The 18,142-nt window shown below is 38.1% G+C and overlaps 1 protein-coding gene and 1 pseudogene across 2 annotated transcripts in view, besides 3 other annotated features; one reads left to right on the top strand and one right to left on the bottom strand.

Annotated features, from left to right (window-relative positions):
- The window catches only part of PRR16 (proline rich 16), a 330,317-nt gene that overhangs the window by 80,361 nt on the left and 231,814 nt on the right, over positions 1-18,142 (bottom strand). The gene's annotated exons all lie outside the window — the stretch shown is intronic.
- On the top strand, positions 3,394-3,536 carry RNU4-69P (RNA, U4 small nuclear 69, pseudogene; annotated as a pseudogene).
- Positions 9,893-10,427: an enhancer, noted in NCBI's record as "NANOG hESC enhancer chr5:120039502-120040036 (GRCh37/hg19 assembly coordinates)". NCBI's record gives its function as "activates a minimal SCP1, AML or CMV promoter by ChIP-STARR-seq in naive H9 embryonic stem cells {active_cell/tissue: H9 hESC(naive)}" and the evidence as "EXISTENCE:reporter gene assay evidence [ECO:0000049][PMID:30033119]".
- Positions 10,479-11,317: an enhancer, noted in NCBI's record as "OCT4-NANOG-H3K27ac-H3K4me1 hESC enhancer chr5:120038612-120039450 (GRCh37/hg19 assembly coordinates)". NCBI's record gives its function as "activates a minimal SCP1, AML or CMV promoter by ChIP-STARR-seq in naive and primed H9 embryonic stem cells {active_cell/tissue: H9 hESC(naive and primed)}" and the evidence as "EXISTENCE:reporter gene assay evidence [ECO:0000049][PMID:30033119]".
- Positions 15,871-16,656: an enhancer, noted in NCBI's record as "OCT4-NANOG-H3K27ac hESC enhancer chr5:120033273-120034058 (GRCh37/hg19 assembly coordinates)". NCBI's record gives its function as "activates a minimal SCP1, AML or CMV promoter by ChIP-STARR-seq in naive and primed H9 embryonic stem cells {active_cell/tissue: H9 hESC(naive and primed)}" and the evidence as "EXISTENCE:reporter gene assay evidence [ECO:0000049][PMID:30033119]".

The raw sequence follows: 18,142 nt of genomic DNA, 5'->3' as shown, positions 1-18,142 counted from the left end.
TGATTTTAATAAATATTCTAATAAATTGCTCAATATTAATTATCAACTATAACAATCACACTTGCCATTTTGGCTATTTCTTTTAGTGAACTTAATATTGTGATTTAATATCATATTATAAATATATCAAGCACAAAGAAGAAATTGTTTTCCTAAAAAAAAAGACATTACATTACAGAATTTTTCCTTATAATTGTTTTCTGATTATAAAATATCAAGTATATAAATCTAGGAACACTAGGAATTTTCATGGGTCTCGGAAATGTATCAAAACTTTGAACAGGGAACAGTTTTCAAATATAAATCTGGTTTTTGATACAGGAGAACCACTTGGAAAAAGATTGCTTATGAAAGTTAAAGTGCATTCACATGCTTTCATGGCACTCTAAATATGTTCTTATTTATTAATTGTACTATTACATATTTAAATGCTCAAATTGTTATAGTAGTCATATACTATTAATCTTAACAATTATTAACCTTAAAATTATCATATAAAAAGATGTACTATGAAACAAACAGAAAAGGAGGAAAAACTACTGAGCGAAAGGCCCTGGTTCTAGCTCTGGGTCACTGTGGAGCTATGGAAACTTGGGCAAGCTACTTACTGCCTTTCGGACTCAGATTCTTTGTCCACAATACGAATGGTTTAATCACACAAGTTTTAAAATTAAAACTTCACAAATTTTCTGATTTTCAATTTCTATTTCCCACATATAATATGGATTTTACTATTTTTTAAAATGGAGAACTATAAAGATCAAGAAAACAATGTTATCACTTTATATTTACTATTTCTTATTAAGAAAAAATAATTCTTCTGTGTACCTGAAAACTTGTCTGGATTAGTCAGGATGTTCTTTTCCTAGCCCATGAAAGGAAAGTTAAGAGCCTTGAATATGTACAGATTATAGATATACTATGCTACATTTATGTATCTAGGTTACAAGAGTCTGAAAATAGATTTTACACGTAAGTGAAATTATGCAGTATTTTTATTTCTATGTCTGGCTTATTTTACTTAGAATTATGTCCTCCAAGTTCATCCATGTTGTCACAAATGGCAGTATTTTCTTCTTTTTTAAGGTTAAATAATATATGTGCGTGTGTATGTGTGTGTTTGTGTTGTGCCTCACAATTATTTTATCCATTCATCTGTCCATGAGCCCAGGTTGTTTTCACATTTTGGCTATTGTGAATAATGGTGCAATGAAGACAGGAGTGCAGATATCTCTTCAAGTTACTAATTTTATTTCCTTTGGTCATATACGTATATGCTAGGTCATATGGCCGTTCTATTTTTAACTTTTTTAGAAACCTCTATATTGTCTCCAATAATGGCTGTACCAATTTACATTCCTATCAACAGTGTGCAAAGGTTCCCTTTTCTCAACACTCTTGCCAACACTTATTATCAATTGACTTTTTGATAATAGCTAGCTAACCAAGTATAAATGATAACTCATTGTGGTTTTGATTTATATTTCCCTAATTATTAGTGATGATTAGTGATGTTGAGCACCTTTTCATATATCTGTTTTTCATTTGTATGTCTTCTTTGGAAAAATGTTAATTCAGATCCTTTTCCCATTTTAAAATTGGATTTTTTTTCTTTTACTATTGAATTGTGTTTGTTATATATTTTGAATATTAAACATATATTTATACACCCTTATCAGGTATATAGTTCACATATATTTTTCCCAATCTGTAAGGTTCCCCTTCTTTTTGTTGATTACTTCCTTTGCTGTGCATAGTCTTACTCATATGTGGAATCTAAAAAATAAAATGAAAGAAAGAAGAGAAAAAGTCAAATACATAGAAACAGTACAACAGTGGGAAAGAAACGTATAGCTGTAGGTCAAAGGGTACAAACTTGCATTTATGTAGAATAAATAAGTCTAGAGATCTAATGTACAATAGGAAAACCATAGTTAATAGTATTGTATTATTGCATATTGTGTATTGTGTATTATATATTGAAAATTTGCTAAAGAGTAGATTTTAAGTTCTCTTACCACGCACAAAGGAGGTAACTATAGAAGGTGATGGATATGTAAAATTGCTTACACGTAGTAAGCATTTCACTATGTATACGTATACCAAAACATCATGTTGTATACCTCAAACTTATATGATAAAAAAAGTCTGAATTTAGCCCAGTCATTAGTGATATACAGAGCACTAAAAACATACAGTCAGAAACTTGTCAATAAGAGGAAAAATATGACACACAGGTGGTCAAATTAAGGCTAACATAATAACTTAGACACAGAATTTTCTGGGTGTGGAAATGGGAGAGGAAATTGCCTTTTCTCTCACTTCAAATGTCCATGGGAGGGGCTCCATAGAGACACATTCCTGGCCTCTCTCTGTAAATCCCGTATCCCTCCCTGTAAAGAGAAGTGTAAGTTATCTGATTGGTGAATTTGGAGGAAAAGAAGGTCATTCTTGGCTTAGCCCCCTCTGCTTTGCAGATCATAGACTATCTCATGGACTATCTCTTATGCACTACAAGGCTTGCCTCTATAATAAAAGCAGGACTTTGTACAGCACAGCTTCAGGCAGCTTCAGACTTGGTGGCCAAGTGTGTCCAATCCAAGAGAGATGTATCTATAGGACTATATGGCCCAGATCGCATATCTAAGTTTTATGAGTAATAAAGTGACATACTGATTAATATCCTTCTGCTGAATGTTTGGGTAAATCTCAAATAGTTCTTAACTTAATCAGCTTGGGGTAGTAGTATTAATTTGGCAAGCTAAAATCATGGCAAACATCACATTAGATACCTCATATTGTTTTCATTCCTTTATTCAGTCTTCATCCAACCAATAGTTAATCACCAGAAAATGAAAGAGACAGACATGATTACTACTCTACACTGAGTCTATAATCTGGTGGGAGAAAACAGAAAAAATCAAGTAAATTATAAATTAAATAATTGTAGTTGTGTTAGGCACAATGATGGCTCTCCAAAGATGCCCACATTCTAATCCCCATACTCCATGAATATGCTGTTATATGGCAAAGGGGAATTAAAATTGCAGATGAAATAAAAGTTGCTAATCTACTAACCTTGAGATGGGAAAAAATTTTTCTGCATTATCCAGTGAGACCAATATAACAAAAGAATTTTACATGTTGAAGAGGAAGGCAGAAGACCCAGAGTCAGAGTGATGCAATGTGAGAAAGACTTAACCAGTCTTTTGCTGGCTTTGAAAATGGAGGAACAGACCATGGGCCAAGGACTGCAGGCTGCCATTAGAAGCTGAGGGGGGAAAAAAAAAAGAGTGGATTCTCCACAAAGGACCAGAGCCCTACTAACTCTTTGATTTTAGTCCAGTGAAACCCATTTTAGACTTCTGCGTATAAGAATTATAAGATAATACAAACTTCACAAAGAGGCAGTATTACACCCACTGAGGTTTATCCAAGGTATGATTCTTGCTAACTGAAAACTTTTCTCAATGTCTCACCATGATGACTTGAAGTCTGATATTCGACTTTGGCAATTTTTAACAATCACTGTGGGACTGAATTTAAAAAATAATAATAATACATTTGTGTCTTTTTGAGCGACTAATCTTGTCATACTTGTTACAGCAGCAATAGAAAACTAATACAGCAGCAGTAAGTTCTATAGAGACATCTGTAATACTAACACACTAGAGTGTAACTTGGAGTGAGATCAGTGAGCTACCATGCATGTGGTAGTTCAGATAAGCTGGCTAAAATTTTTAAAAATATTTCTAATTTTAATCCTTTTAGAAGGTCTATAAACTTTCCTGCTTGTCACATGCCCCCATAATGACTATGTTTTTTCCACTGGATACTTTGGGAAGAGTACCTAGAGCCTATGAGATTTTCAGTAACCAAAAACAACTTCGAGATCCTCCCCTTTCCTCCCACTAAAATGATAAATTTTTTAAAAAGCCTTGTATGTACTATGCACCAGCCGGTTGTACCCCTGGAGCTATGATGCTAAACATCACTAATCATCAGAGAAATGCAAAGTCATCAGGGAAATTCACATGATAAAAATATATCATTTCATCCAAGTCAAAACGGCTTTTATCAAAAAGACAGAAAATAACAAATGCTGGCAAGGATACGGAAAAAGGGGAAAGCTCATACACTGTTGGTAGGAATGTAAATTAGTACAGCCACCATGAAAAATAGTATAGAGAAGCCTCAAAAAACTAAAAATAGAACTACCACATGATCCAGCAATCTCACTGGTGGTTATATATCCAAAAGATAGGAAATCAATATATTGAAGACATATCTATGCTCCTGTTTATTGCAGTTCACAATATCCAAGATATGGAATCAACCTAAGTGCCCATCATGGATAAATTTATAAAGAAAATGTGATATTTAAATACAATGGAATATTATTGAGCAATAAAAAATGAAATCCTGTCATTTACAGCAACATGGGTGAAACTGGAGATTATTATGTCAAGTGAAATAAATCACGCATAGAAAGACAACTATCCTATGTTCTCACTCATATGTGAGCTGAAAAAAACCTGATCCTGTGAAGGTAGAGAGTAAAATGGTGGTTACCAGAGGCTGGGAAGGGTAATAAAGAGTAGGGAGGAAGAGGGTTTGGTTAACAGGTACAAAAATATAGCTAGATAAAAAGAATAAGATCTAGTGTTTGGTAGACTAAGAGAAGACTATAGCTAACAATAATTCATTGTATATTTAAAAAAACTGGAAGATCTAGAATGGTCACAACATAAAGAAATGATAAATATTTGAGATGATGAGCATCACAATTACCTAGATTTGATCATCTCATATTGTAAGCTTGTATCAAAATGTCACATGTACCCCATAAATATGAACAACTAATGTGTATCCATATAATTGTTTTTAAAAAATAACAAAGTAAAATAAAATTAAGAAGCTTAATTGCGGCCGGGTGCGGTGGCTCACACCTGTAATCCTAGTACTTTGGGAGGCCCAGGCGGGCAGATCACGAGGTCAGGAGATCGAGACCATCCTGGCTAACATGGTGAAACCCCGTCTCTACTAAAAATACAAAAAATTAGCCAGGCGTGGTGACGGGCGCCTGTAGTCCCAGCTACTCAGGAGGCTGAGGAAGGAGAACGGCATGAACCCAGGAGCTGGAGCTTGCAGTGAGCCGAGATTGCGCCACTGCACTCCAGCCTGGACCACAGAGCAAGACTCTGTCTCAAAAAAAAAAAAAAAAAAAAAAAAAAAAAAAAAAAAAAAAAAAAAAAGTACCAAAGAGTAAAGAGTAAAGATAAATTCAGAAGATATTTTGAACAAACAATAAAATTATTTCCCGCAAAGACTTCCTACAAGTTTTTGCATCATCTGTAAATGATCAATTAAGAATGGCCCAGGGATTCCAGTATAACCAAGTGCTAATTTAAACTAAATGCGTTTGATAATGCTCAGGAACCTCCTTTTACTCTGCAATTTCCACAAACTCTTAAAAAAATCTAAGTTGTGCATGTAAACTTAGTTTAATTCTGGTCTCCTTTGGTAGGATTGGGTTCTGAAACTGAAATGCTTAATCCACAAATATCTTTCTTTAATGTTTACAGAATTTGATAATCGCTTTGTACACTTACTTCATAAAATTACAAGTGTCTCCTTTACACTTTCCCTTTTATTTCCTCAACATTAATAAAATTTTTAGCTTTTCCTGTCTGAGGTTTACTGGAACATTCACATATTCAAGTAAAGATGTTTTGAGAGAATTTCATGCAAGATATCCTAAGGAAATCATTTTCTGACAATTAAAATTCAACCAGGAGCTCATTACTGCTATTATAAAAAGAGGATAAAAGCAACTAATCACCACTCTATTGAAAAGTTGAGATAAATAACTGCTAGCCATAACTAGAACATTTGATTTAACTTTTAAAGTTTTTGATAAATTCATTACCACAAAGAGGAACTTTTTGTCTTTCATGTAACCTAAGGTAAAGAGCAAGGAGTAATGAACAACACTGACTACTTTATAGTAAATACATGACTGGGAATTCCCAAGGCAAATGTACAACCCTGAAGGCTACTAAATTTAGGAGATTTAACTGGGATGAGAATGGCGTTTTCACTGTCATCAGAAATACTGACAAATTAGATGGTTATCATTTGTTACATTAAAAATCAAGACAAATTATTACAGTGAAAATATTTATCTTTTCATGTACACTGATCCTGTACAGAGAAAATTATACTTTTGTTTTTTCATTCTTAGAAGCTAAAAACCAAACAGTAACTAATTGAGATGAAGACTTCTCTCTCACCAGGCCATTGGTTTATAGCCCACCACCTGGATCTGACCCCAGGATGTTTTCCCAGCTGACAAGCCTCATTCCCATATGCAAGAGAATTGCCCCTTAAGAGCCCCTGGCAACTTTTTCATACTGTGTTTCCCTTAAGGTTTTAATAAAAGAAATTATCTTTACTAACAATTGAAATAATTGTCTTTACTTGTTCTTTTCTTCTTCCCCTATCAAAAATAGTGTCTTAACTCTTGAGTAGTGCAGACCCAAATTTTCATTTAAAGAGGGTAAACGGAAATTTCCTAGAGCTATGTCATAAATATCCTAGAGACTCATGTGCTGTCTGTAAGAAGCCGTTATTAAAAATACGGAACATAACAGTCAGGCAGATTATATGGCTCTTCCTGCCTTAAAATGTCATCTGTTTTTAAGTTGGTGAAATATTCCAGTTGTTGAAAGCCATAGAACATGTGGCTTACAATAGTTTTAAATGAACAGAACTTTAGAGAGAACTTTGTTTCTCCAAAAGTATCTAGAAGAGCTTTGGGACCCATTCTCTGACAATCCCTCCTATATGGGCCAGCATTCTCCTCCCATGGAGGACTTTTGTAAGCCTGAAGTGTATTGGTAAAATCACAAGCTATGGAACATATTAGAATTATGGTCACGTCTCTACTCCATCATGTAATAGCTGGGAGACTAGAGCAAGCAAAAGTAACACCTCCAAGCCTCAGGCTCTTAGTAAGTAACTTTAATGGTGAACAAGATGGCCTTCATAGCCCCCTAAGCCCTTCTAAATGTTAAATAAGACTGCAAGCCTCTGACATCACTTTTCTTAGAGCATTTAGTTTAGAAACCCTTCAATTGTAGATTTCCCTTGCTCCTTTGAGATGTAAATTTTCTCCCAGCCTCTTTCCAGTTTTACAACCTAGGAAGATCTTCTCAATCTGGGAACCATTCCTTTGAAATGTAATCATCAAAAAAGATAGTGTCCCTATGTATAATGTCCCTATATCCCAGTGTCTATCAGAGGGTAAGAGCTTAACTTTGATAAGTGGTAATTAGCAAACACAGATGACCTAATCACATTGACCAACCTCCTTCCCACAATAGCTTAGAGCAGTGGCAAAAACAGCCTGCCTTTTTTCTCCAAGAAGTTGAATTCGATCTTTCTCCTTATTGAACTAATCTTAACTTCTCTTGAAACAATTTGAATAAAATCTTTCTTGTCTGTTTAACCTGTCCTATGCAATTTTTATTTGACAAGAGTTATTATGAGAATTAAAGTAGCATATGTAAAATACTCAGCATTGCATAAAATGGTTGCTTAGTAAATGTTACTTTTTCTCAGACCCCTCTCTTTTGAACCACAGAATTCTTCTCTGAATGGAGATCCCTGAAAACCCAAAATGTCTCTTTTCAAAGATCAGGTATAGTGGTGTGATACGGCAGTTGAACAACTTAAAAAAATTCCTTGTGTGTTTGCTGTTTTGTTAAATGAAGAAACAGGCTGAAGGAGCGTATCAGCAAGTGCTATTTCTATCCACTGAGCCAATAAACAACCTGGCCAGAAAAAGCAAAGGGTCTTCAATATTAACATAAATTTCAAGTACGGAGTGAAAATATGTCCCCAAGTCAAACTGACAAAAATCAAGAGGTAAGAATATCTACATGTCATTACATCAGGAGGCCTGGTGATGACTTGCTTAGCAACTATCAAAGGTAAAATCGTGAAGTCCATTTTAATCTAAAGGTAATACAGAGTTAAACCAAAGAAACCCTTCTTTCAAGTAGCTCTCTGAGCACAAAAGAATAAAATTGTCATCTTCACTAATATGAAAATGGTCTCTTTCTCTTGTTATTATTTACCGGGATCATTTGTAAGGCCATTGGAAGCCATTTTTGTACCCATTTAATTAGATTACATGTCTCCGAACTTTGTTATATGACTGTTAAAGCACAATGATGAAAGATACAATGTGAATTTTTGAGTAAATATGTTTTTTCAAAGGTTTCTGTTATGCCATAAGCAACCAGTGATGTACCAAGCTCTTTGCTGTTAGAATACTTCATATTTTTTAGGGTCTCTTGTGTTACAATTTTTTTTCTATCCACATCATCTTGTACCAGGCTCCAGTTCAAGTTTATTAACTGACAATATTGATTTCTACCAATAATTACTACAGAGTCAGAGAAGAGCATTGTGAATTGTTTACACTTACTATCTTTCATATTAAATGTACATTCAAATATACATAGTGATCATAATGATTATAATGTTGTTGTTATTAACTTATATCCTGAATGTCAGAAAATGACTTTTATTGTCTTAGCTAAAGAACACAAAAACACAAGAATAAAAATTTAAATTTTGTTAAAGCTAGTGTGGAAAATATAAGCTGATTATAAAGAAAAAACATAATGAACAGAAAATATCATTTGGATATTTGATGTTGAAGAATATCATTTTCCTGAACACTGAAAATTGACTTCTATTTCCTTAGAATAAAAGTTTAAAAGATGAACAGATAAACTTTTTTAAAAGCACATGTGGAAAATACTGATATATATGTTTACTAAAATTTGTCAACATGATATATAGAAAAAAATTTGAGGGAGATCATGAAGAATATAACATTTCTGGCAATGTTGGGATATTTTATTGGATAGTTTAGCTTAACTGCACCATCAGAAAATCTGAATAAAAGCTATAAATGAATAATTTTCATATAATTAACATAACATTATATATACATAATCACTTTAGAATTACTCATACCTAAGCATATTACTGATACCTAAGCAATATTCTTTGAATGCAAACAATTAAAACTTTGCTCTTTTTAACAATTTATTGTTGAAATGTACTCTCCTTTTTTTTTTACAATGGACATTGAGCCAGTGAATCACACAAACTTAAAGTGTTAAAGTAATGCATGGAAGTCATATATTTCCCACTCTAAACTAATCTTAAATGGATCTCTAGCTCAGGAATTACTTCTTAATACTGCATTAAATTAAAAAAACGTTTTAATGCTCCACGTAAACTTTTTGAAATATAAATTTCTAAGTACATTCTTGTCTCTTACACATATGGTGAAAAAATGCGTAAATAGGCTTCATAAGTACTGACTATATACTGTCTCAATTAGGATAAAATAATAACAGATGTGCCATTCTCTGTATTGTATTATTTAATTATTGTTAATTCTACTGATATACTAGAATCACCTGGTTCATTTGAAGCCTACTGATGTCTGAGCGCACTGTAAAGAGATTCTGATTTAATTGGTCCAGGTTGGGGATCAGGGTGTGAAGCTTCCCAAGTGATTCTGATGTTTAGGGAGGATTATGATTCATATTGGTATATAACGGAAAGCAAAGAAATAAGGCTCATGAGTTTTAAAATACTCTTGAGTACATTGGTGCTCTAGTTTCTATACCATAAAATGCTAAGAATTTTTAGAACATATATTCTTAGATTTGCTCATCTCTCCATCTGGAAAATAAAATCATGTTCTCTTTGGTGCAAATAGTACAAAACTTATATAGAAACCCTGCATTCTTTCAGGCTTGCAACACATCCTTAGGCCAGGAAAGGAGGGAAAAAAAGAAAACAGTCTCAAGCCAATAATGTCAGTTTCCCACACTCATAGAAACCAGGCCTCCCCTCCATCCATCGCTGCCCATTTCCAAGATTCCAGATTGGTTGGGAACTCAGCTTTCCATAGCACTATCTGCTCAGAATCTAGAAGTGTCTTTTGTCCTTCTCCACCACCAACAAAATTTTTGTTTCCCATACCCCTTTTTTAAAAAGCTGTTTTCTACAGAGTTTTGAAAGGAGCCTGTGTTCTCTTAAGAGAAAGCTTCTTTCTTATGTTAACTTCTGTGTTTGAATTTTGACAATGGAAAAACAAAGAAACAAAAGCCCCAAATTCTATTTGTCTACCTAAGTCCAGCTGTATCATCAGTATCTAAATCTTTATAGAAAAGCTCCCAAAATACCTAGAGACAGTACATACTGACAAATCCAATTTCATCTCTGTGTACAAAGAATTGGGGTATATTACATAATCGACAGCTATTTATGTGGGCCTTAAATTATAAGAAATCCAGAATAACTTTCCTTATTTCATGGATTAGGAAATCTATGAGGACTAACCTTTAAAACTGCAAGCTAAGTAAATGTCACACTTTTTAACCATCAATAAGAAAACTCTCACACAGAGAACCAGAGACATAAAAATAATATTTTCAAATCTCACTCCAATCTCTTCAAACATTGCAAGGAACAACACATTAAATAAAAGCAATAGACAAAGCCATGAGAATAGGAAAAGATAATCAATAAAGCACTTTACATCTGATTGTTCATTCTATGAATTCAGTAAACAAATACATATTGGGATGGCAGCTGTATCTTTACCAAAGTGATTGCATCAAACACAAAAGAAACAATGCTGTGTATTCAATGCACAGGATAGCACTCCCCAGGAAATGAAACAACATGAGGCTTCAGTTCACTAGGCTTCGAAAATAAATTTGATGTATGTCAGGCCTCTGAGCCCAAGCCAAGCCATCGCATCCCCTGTGACTTGCACGTATACGCCCAGATGGCCTGAAGTAACTGGAGAATCACAAAAGAAGTGAATACACTTTGCCCCACCTTAACTGATAACATTCCACCACAAAAGAAGTGTAAATGGCTAGTCCTTGCCTTAAGTGATGACATTACCTTGTGAAAATCCTTTTCCTGGCTCATCCTGGCTCAAAAGGCACCCCCACTGAGCACCTTGCGACCCCCACTCCTGCCCGCCAGAGAACAAACCCCCTTTGACTGTAATTTTCCTTTACCGACCCAAATCCTATAAAATGGCCCCACCCTTATCTCCCTTCGCTGACTCTCTTTTCGGACTCAGCCCGCCTGCACCCAGGTGAAATAAACAGCCATGTTGCTCACACAAAGCCTGTTTGGTGGTCTCTTCACACGGACGTGCATGAAATTTAGTGCCGTGACTCGGATCGGGGGACCTCCCTTGGGAGATCAATCCCCTGTCCTCCTGTTCTTTGCTCCCTGAGAAAGATCCACCTACAACCTCAGGTCCTCAGACCGACCAGCCCAAGGAAGATCTCACCAATTTTAAATCAGGTAAGCGGCCTCTTCTTACTCTCTTCTCCAACCTCTCTCACTGTCCCTCCACTACTTTCTCCTTTCCACTCTTCAACCTCTCCCTTCTCTTAATTTCAATTCCTTTCATTTTCTGGGAGAGACAAAGAAGACACGTTTTATCCGTGGACCCAAAACTCCGGCGCCGGTCACGGACTGGGAAGGCAGCCTTCCCTTGGTGTTTAATCATTTCACGGACACCTCTCTGATTATTCACCCATGTTTCAAAGGTGTCAGACCACGCAGGGACGCCTGCCTTGGTCCTTCACCCTTAACAGCAAGTCCCGCTTTTCTGGGGAAGGGGCAAGTACCCCAACCCCTTCTCTCCTTGTCTCTACCCCTTCTCTGCTTTTCTAGGGGAAGGGCAAGTACCCCTCAACCCCTTCTCCTTCACTCTTAGCGGCAAGTCCCACTTTTCTACAGGAGGGGCAAGTACCCCAACCTCGTATCTCTGCGCCCCAATCCCTTATTTCCATGCCCCGACCTCTTATCTCGGCGCCCCAATCCCTTATTTCCATGCCCCGACCCCTTATTTCCGTGCCCCGACCCCTTATTTCTGTGTCCCGACCCCTTATTTCTGAGCCCCATCCCTTATTTCCACACCCCAACCTCTTATCTCTGCACCCCAACCCCTTTTCCCACTTTTCTGGAAGGTAAGAACCCCTGAACCCCTTCCCTCCATTTCTCTGCTCTCTCTTTTCTCTAGGCTTGCTTCCCTCACTATGGGCAATCTTTCACCCTCCATTCCTTCTTCTACTCCCTTGGCCTGTGTTCTCAAAAACTTAAAACCTCTTCCATTCACACCTGACCTAAAACCTAAATGCCTTATTTTCTTCTGCAATGCCGCTTGACCCCAGTACAAATTCGACAGTCGTTCCAAATAGCCAGAAAATGGCACTTTGAATTTTTCCATCCTGCAAGATCTAAATAATTCTTGTCATGAAATAGGCAAACGGTCTGAGGTGCCTGACGTCCAGGCATTCTTTTACACATCAGTCCCTTCCTAGTCTCTGTGCCCAGTGCAACTCGTCCCAAATCTTCCTTCTTTCCCTCCTGTCTATCCCCTCAGTACCAACCCCAAGCGTTGCTGAGTCTTTCTAATCTTCCTTTTCTACAGACCCATCTGACCTCTCCTTTCCTCTCCAGGCTGCTCCTTGCCAGGCCGAGCTAGATCCCAATTCTTCCTCAGCCTCTGCTCCTCCACCCTATAATCTTTTTATCACCTCCCCTCCTCACACCTGGTCCGGCTTTCAGTTTCGTTCCGTGACTAGCCCTCCCCCTCCTGCCCAGCAATTTACTCTTAAAAAGGTGGCTGGAGCTAAATGCATAGTCAAGGTTAATGCTCCTTTTTCTTTATCCCAAATCGGATAGCGTTTAGGATCTTTTTTATCAAATATAAAAATCCAGCCCAGTTCATGACTTGTTTGGCAGCAACCCTGAGACACTTTACAGCCCTAGACCCTAAAAGGTCAAAAGGCCATCTTATTCTCAAAATACGTTTTGTTACCCAATCTGCTCCCGACATTAAATAAAACTCCAAAAATTAAATTCTGGCCCTCAAACCCCACAACAGGATTTAATTAACCTCGCCTTCAAGGTGTACAATAATAGAAAAAAGTTGCAATTCCTTGCCTCCACTGTGAGACAAACCCCAGCCACATCTCCAGCACACAAGAACTTCCAAATGCCTGAACTGCAGCGGCCAGGCGTTCCTCCAGAACCTCCTCCCACAGGAGCTTGCTACATGTGCCAGAAATCTGGCCACTGGGCCAAGGAATGCCCGCAGCCCGGGATTCCTCCTAAGCTGTGTCCCATCTGTGTGAGACCCCACTGAAAATTGGACTGTTCAACTCACCTGGCAGCCACTCCCAGAGCCCCTGGAACTCTGGCCCAAGGCTCTCTGACCAACTCCTTCCCAGATCTTCTCGGCTTAGCGGCTGAAGACTGACACTGCCCGATCGCCTCGGAAGCCCCCTAGACCATCACCGACGCCGAGCTTTGGGTAACTCTCACAGTGGAAGGCAAGCCCGTCCCCTTCTTAATCAGCACGGAGGCTACCCACTCCACATTACTTTCTTTTCAAGGGCCTGTTTCCCTTGCCTCCATAACTGTTGTGGGTATTGATGGCCAGGCTTCTAAACCTCTTAAAACTCCCCAACTCTGGTGCCAACTTGGACAATACTCTTTTAAGCACTCCTTTTTAGTTATCCCCACCTGCCCAGTTCCCTTATTAGGCTGAGACACTTTAACTAAATTATCTGCTTCCCTGACTATTCCTGGACTACAGCTATATCTCATTGCCACCCTTCTTCACAATCTAAAGCCTCCTTTGCATCCTCCTCTTGTATCCCCCCACCTTAACCCACAAGTATGAGATACCTCTACTCCCTCCTTGGCGACCGATCATGCACCCCTCACCATCTCATTAAAACCTAATCACCCTTACCCCACTCAAGGCCAATATCCCATCCCGCAGCACGCTTTAAAAAGATTTAAAGCCTGTTATCACTCGCCTGCTACAGCATGGCCTTTTAAAGCCTATAAACTCTCCTGACAATGCCCCCATTTTACCTGTCCTAAAACCAGACAAGCCTTACAAGTTAGTTCAGGATCTGCGCCTTATCAACCAAATTGTTTTGCCTATCCACCCCGTGGTGCCAAACCCATATACTCTCCTATCCTCAATACCTGCCTCTACAACCCATTATTCTGTTCTAGGTCTCAAACATGCTTTCTTTACTATTGCTTTGTACCCTTCATCCCAGCCTCTCTTCGCTTTCACTAGGACTGACCCTGACACCCATCAAGCTCAGCAAATTACCTAGGCTGTACTGCTGCAAAGCTTCACAGACAGCCCCCATTACTTCAATCAAGCCCAAGTTTCTTCCTCATCTGTTACCTATCTCGGCATAATTCTCATAAAAACACACATGCTCTCCCTGCCAATCTTGTCTGACTGATCTCTCAAACCCCAGCACCTTCTACAAAACAACAACTCCTTTCCTTCCTAGGCATGGTTAGTGTGGTCAGAATTCTTACACAAGAGCCAGGACCACACCCTGTAGCCTTTCTGTCCAACTTGACCTTACTGTTTTAGCCTAGCCCTCATGTCTGCGTGCAGCGGCTGCCACTGCTTTAATACTTATAGAGGCCCTCAAAGTCACAAACTATGCTCAACTCACTCTCTACAGTTCTCATAACTTCCAAAATCTATTTTCTTCCTCATACCTGATGCATATACTTTCTGCTTCCTGGCTCCTTCAGCTATACTCACTTTTTCTTGACTCTCCCACAATTACCGTTGTTCCTGGCCCAGACTTGAATCCGGCCTCCCACATTATTACTGATACCACACCTGACCCCCATGACTGTATCTCTCTGATCCACCTGACATTCACCCCATTTCCCCAAATTTCCTTCTTTCCTGTTCCTCACCCTGATCACGCTTGATTTATTGACGGCGGTTCCACCAGGCCTAATCGCCACACACCAGCAAAGACAGGTTATGCTATAGTACAAGCCACTAGCCCGCCTCTTAGAACCTCTCATTTCCTTTCCATCGTGGAAATCTATCCTCAAGGAAATAACTTCTCAGTGTTCCATCTGCTATTCTACTACTCCTCAGGGATAATTCAGGCCCTCTCCCTTCCCTACACATCAAGCTCGAGGATTTGCCCCCACCCAGGACTGGCAGATTAGCTTTACTCAACATGTCCCGAGTCAGGGAACTAAAATACCTCTTAGTCTGAATAGACACTTTCACTGAATAAGTAAAGGCCTTTCCTACAGGGTCTGAGAAGGCCACCACAGTCATTTCTTCCCTTCTGTCAGACATAATTCCTCAGTTTAGCCTTCCCACCTCTGTACAGTCTGATAACAGACCAGCCTTTATTAGTCAAATCAGCCAAGCAGTTTTTCAGGCTCTTAGTATTCAGTGAAAACTTTATATCCTTTACGGTCCTCCATCTTCAAGAAAAGTAGAACGGACTAAAGGTCTTTTAAAAACACACCTCACCAAGCTCAGCCACCAACTTAAAAAGGACTGGACAATACTTTTACCACTTTCGCATCTCAGAATTCAGGCCTGTCCTCAGAATGCTACAAGGTACACCCCATTTAAGTTCCTGTATAGACGCTCCTTTTTATTAGGCCCCAGTCTCATTCCAGACACCAGACCAACTTAGACTGTGCCCCAAAAAACTTGTCATCCCTACTATCTTCTGTCTAGTCATACTCCTATTCACGGTTCTCAACTACTCATACATGCCCTGCTCTTGTTTACACTGTTTCTCCAAGCCATCACAGCTGATATCTCCTGGTGCTATCCCCAAACCGCCACTCTAAACTCTTGAAGTAAATAAATAATCTTTGCTGGCAGGACTTTGCTGAAACCCCTTAGGCACTCTCTAATCAGATGTCCTGGGTCCTCCCAATTCTTAGACCTTTTATACCTGTTTTTCTTCTCTTATTCCATTTAGTTTTTCAATTCATACAAAACTGTATCCAGGCCATCACCAATCATTCTACATGACAAAGTTTCTTCTAACGACCCCACAGTATCACCCCTTACCACAAAATCTTCCTTCAGCTTAATCTCTCCCACTCTAGGTTCCCACGCCACCCCTCACCCTGCTCGAAGCAGCCCTGAGAAACATCGGCCATTCTCTGTCTCTCCATACCACCCCCAAAAAGTTTTCGCCGCCCCAACAATTCAACACTATTTTGTTTTATTTTTCTTATTAATATAAGAAGGCAGGAATGTCGGGCCTCTGAGTCCAAGCCAAGCCATCGCATCCCCTGTGACTTGCACGTATACGCCCAGATGGCCTGAAGTAACTGAAGAATCACAAAAGAAGTGAATATGCCCTGCCCCACCTTAACTGATGACATTCCACCACAAAAGAAGTGTAAATACTTCTTTTGTCTTAAGTTTGTCTTAAGTTTTGACTAACTTAAGGTCCTTGCCTTAAGTGATGACATTACCTTGTGAAAGTCCTTTTCCTGGCTCATCCTGGCTCAAAAAGCACCCCCACTGAGCACCTTGCGACCCCCACTCCTGCCCGCCAGAGAACAAACCCCCTTTGACTGTAATTTTCCTTTACCTACCCAAATCCTATAAAACGGCCCCACCCTTATCTCCCTTCGCTGACTCTCTTTTCGGACTCAGCCCGCCTGCACCCAGGTGAAATAAACAGCCATGTTGCTCACACAAAGCCTGTTTGGTGGTCTCTTCACATGGACGCGCATGAAAATGTAAATGCTGAACATAACCATACTAAAACTATTAGAATTTTCTCACTGGGAAGAAAACTCATGTAACTTTGTGTGTTTATTCCAGTAAGTGGACAGGTTTAGGATGGTTTAAGGAGAATGCCATCTGTACAATTCCAGTTGCAAATTGTATTTATCTCTTATATTTTTATCTTCGTGTCTGACACGGAGATCATTTGCCAGCAGGGAGTACTCATTCTTGTCCCATCTACATCACCATAGTGATTGGGACGGAGTTTAGCGTGAGATGGATCTTTAAATGTATGAAATTGAATGACTAAATATAAACCTAACTAAAAGCCTCATCCTCAGAGGAACATTTATACAAGGGACCTGTCTCTCAGAAATCCCTCTTATCAGCTATATGCTTCCTGGGAGGAAAAAGCAACTTTTTCTCCAAATAAAGTCACTCAAAGTAGAGAATATCTTCAAATTTGTTTTCCTTTCAAACTTGTTTTAAAAAAGTCAACATAAATATTATAATCTAAGTGATAAAAGTGTAACTAAATCTTCATACATTAATTTAAGGGCCTAACTTTTTATTTTCTTGGTTCAGGTCAAATTTTAAGCACAATATATTAATTGCTTATTTCTTTCATAAACTATTTAAACAGATAAAACATTTATATGTATTTGTCAAGTATAACATGTTTTGAAATATGTATACATTGTGGAATGGCTACATTGAGCTATTTAACATATGCATTACTTCACACACATATTTTTCTGTTGAGTGTATATTTCTTAATTTTGTTTATTTTTCACTTCCTCTCCTTCTTTTTGTTGGTTACAGCATTTTACATCATTAGCTCAAATTTTTTTGCTTACCTCTTCAGAACCAAGATTCAGATACTAACACACCACTTTGTAGCAGTCCATCTTCTCTAGAGAACCACTTTGTTGGAAGAAATAGGAATATATTTTATCTCAAATGAGGAAACTTACATTTCTGTGCATGTGGTTTCACAAGTTTATTCAGCCTATTAAGAGGTCAATAAAGTGAAGGAATTCAACTTAATCATTTTAAATTTCTTCAACTTGAATACACTATACAATTTCTTCAACTTGAATACAACTTGAATACAAGAAACTATATGTTTCTTGTTAGTAAACGTAGGTATGGTAAGTACTGCCTTTAATAATACTGCTAATTTAAGAAAAAGATGCACACTACAAAAGCATATTTAATTACTAATTTTTTTATATATATTTTGTTTTGTTTGTGAATTTTTACCTGTGTTGTACTCATTATACCACTGTGGGTTTTTTGTTTTTGTTTTTTGAGATGGAGCCTCACTCTGTCACTCAGGCTGGAGTGCAGTGGCACGATCTCAGCTCACTGCAACCTCCACCTCCTGGGTTCACACTATCCTCCTGCCTCAGCCTCCTGAGTAGTTGGGACTACAGGCGCTCGCCACTACGTCCGGCTAAT

The sequence above is a fragment of the Homo sapiens genome, chromosome 5, assembly GCF_000001405.40.
Source record: "Homo sapiens chromosome 5, GRCh38.p14 Primary Assembly".
NCBI lineage: Eukaryota > Metazoa > Chordata > Mammalia > Primates > Hominidae > Homo > Homo sapiens.
This window is presented reverse-complemented; position numbering and strand designations above follow the sequence as displayed.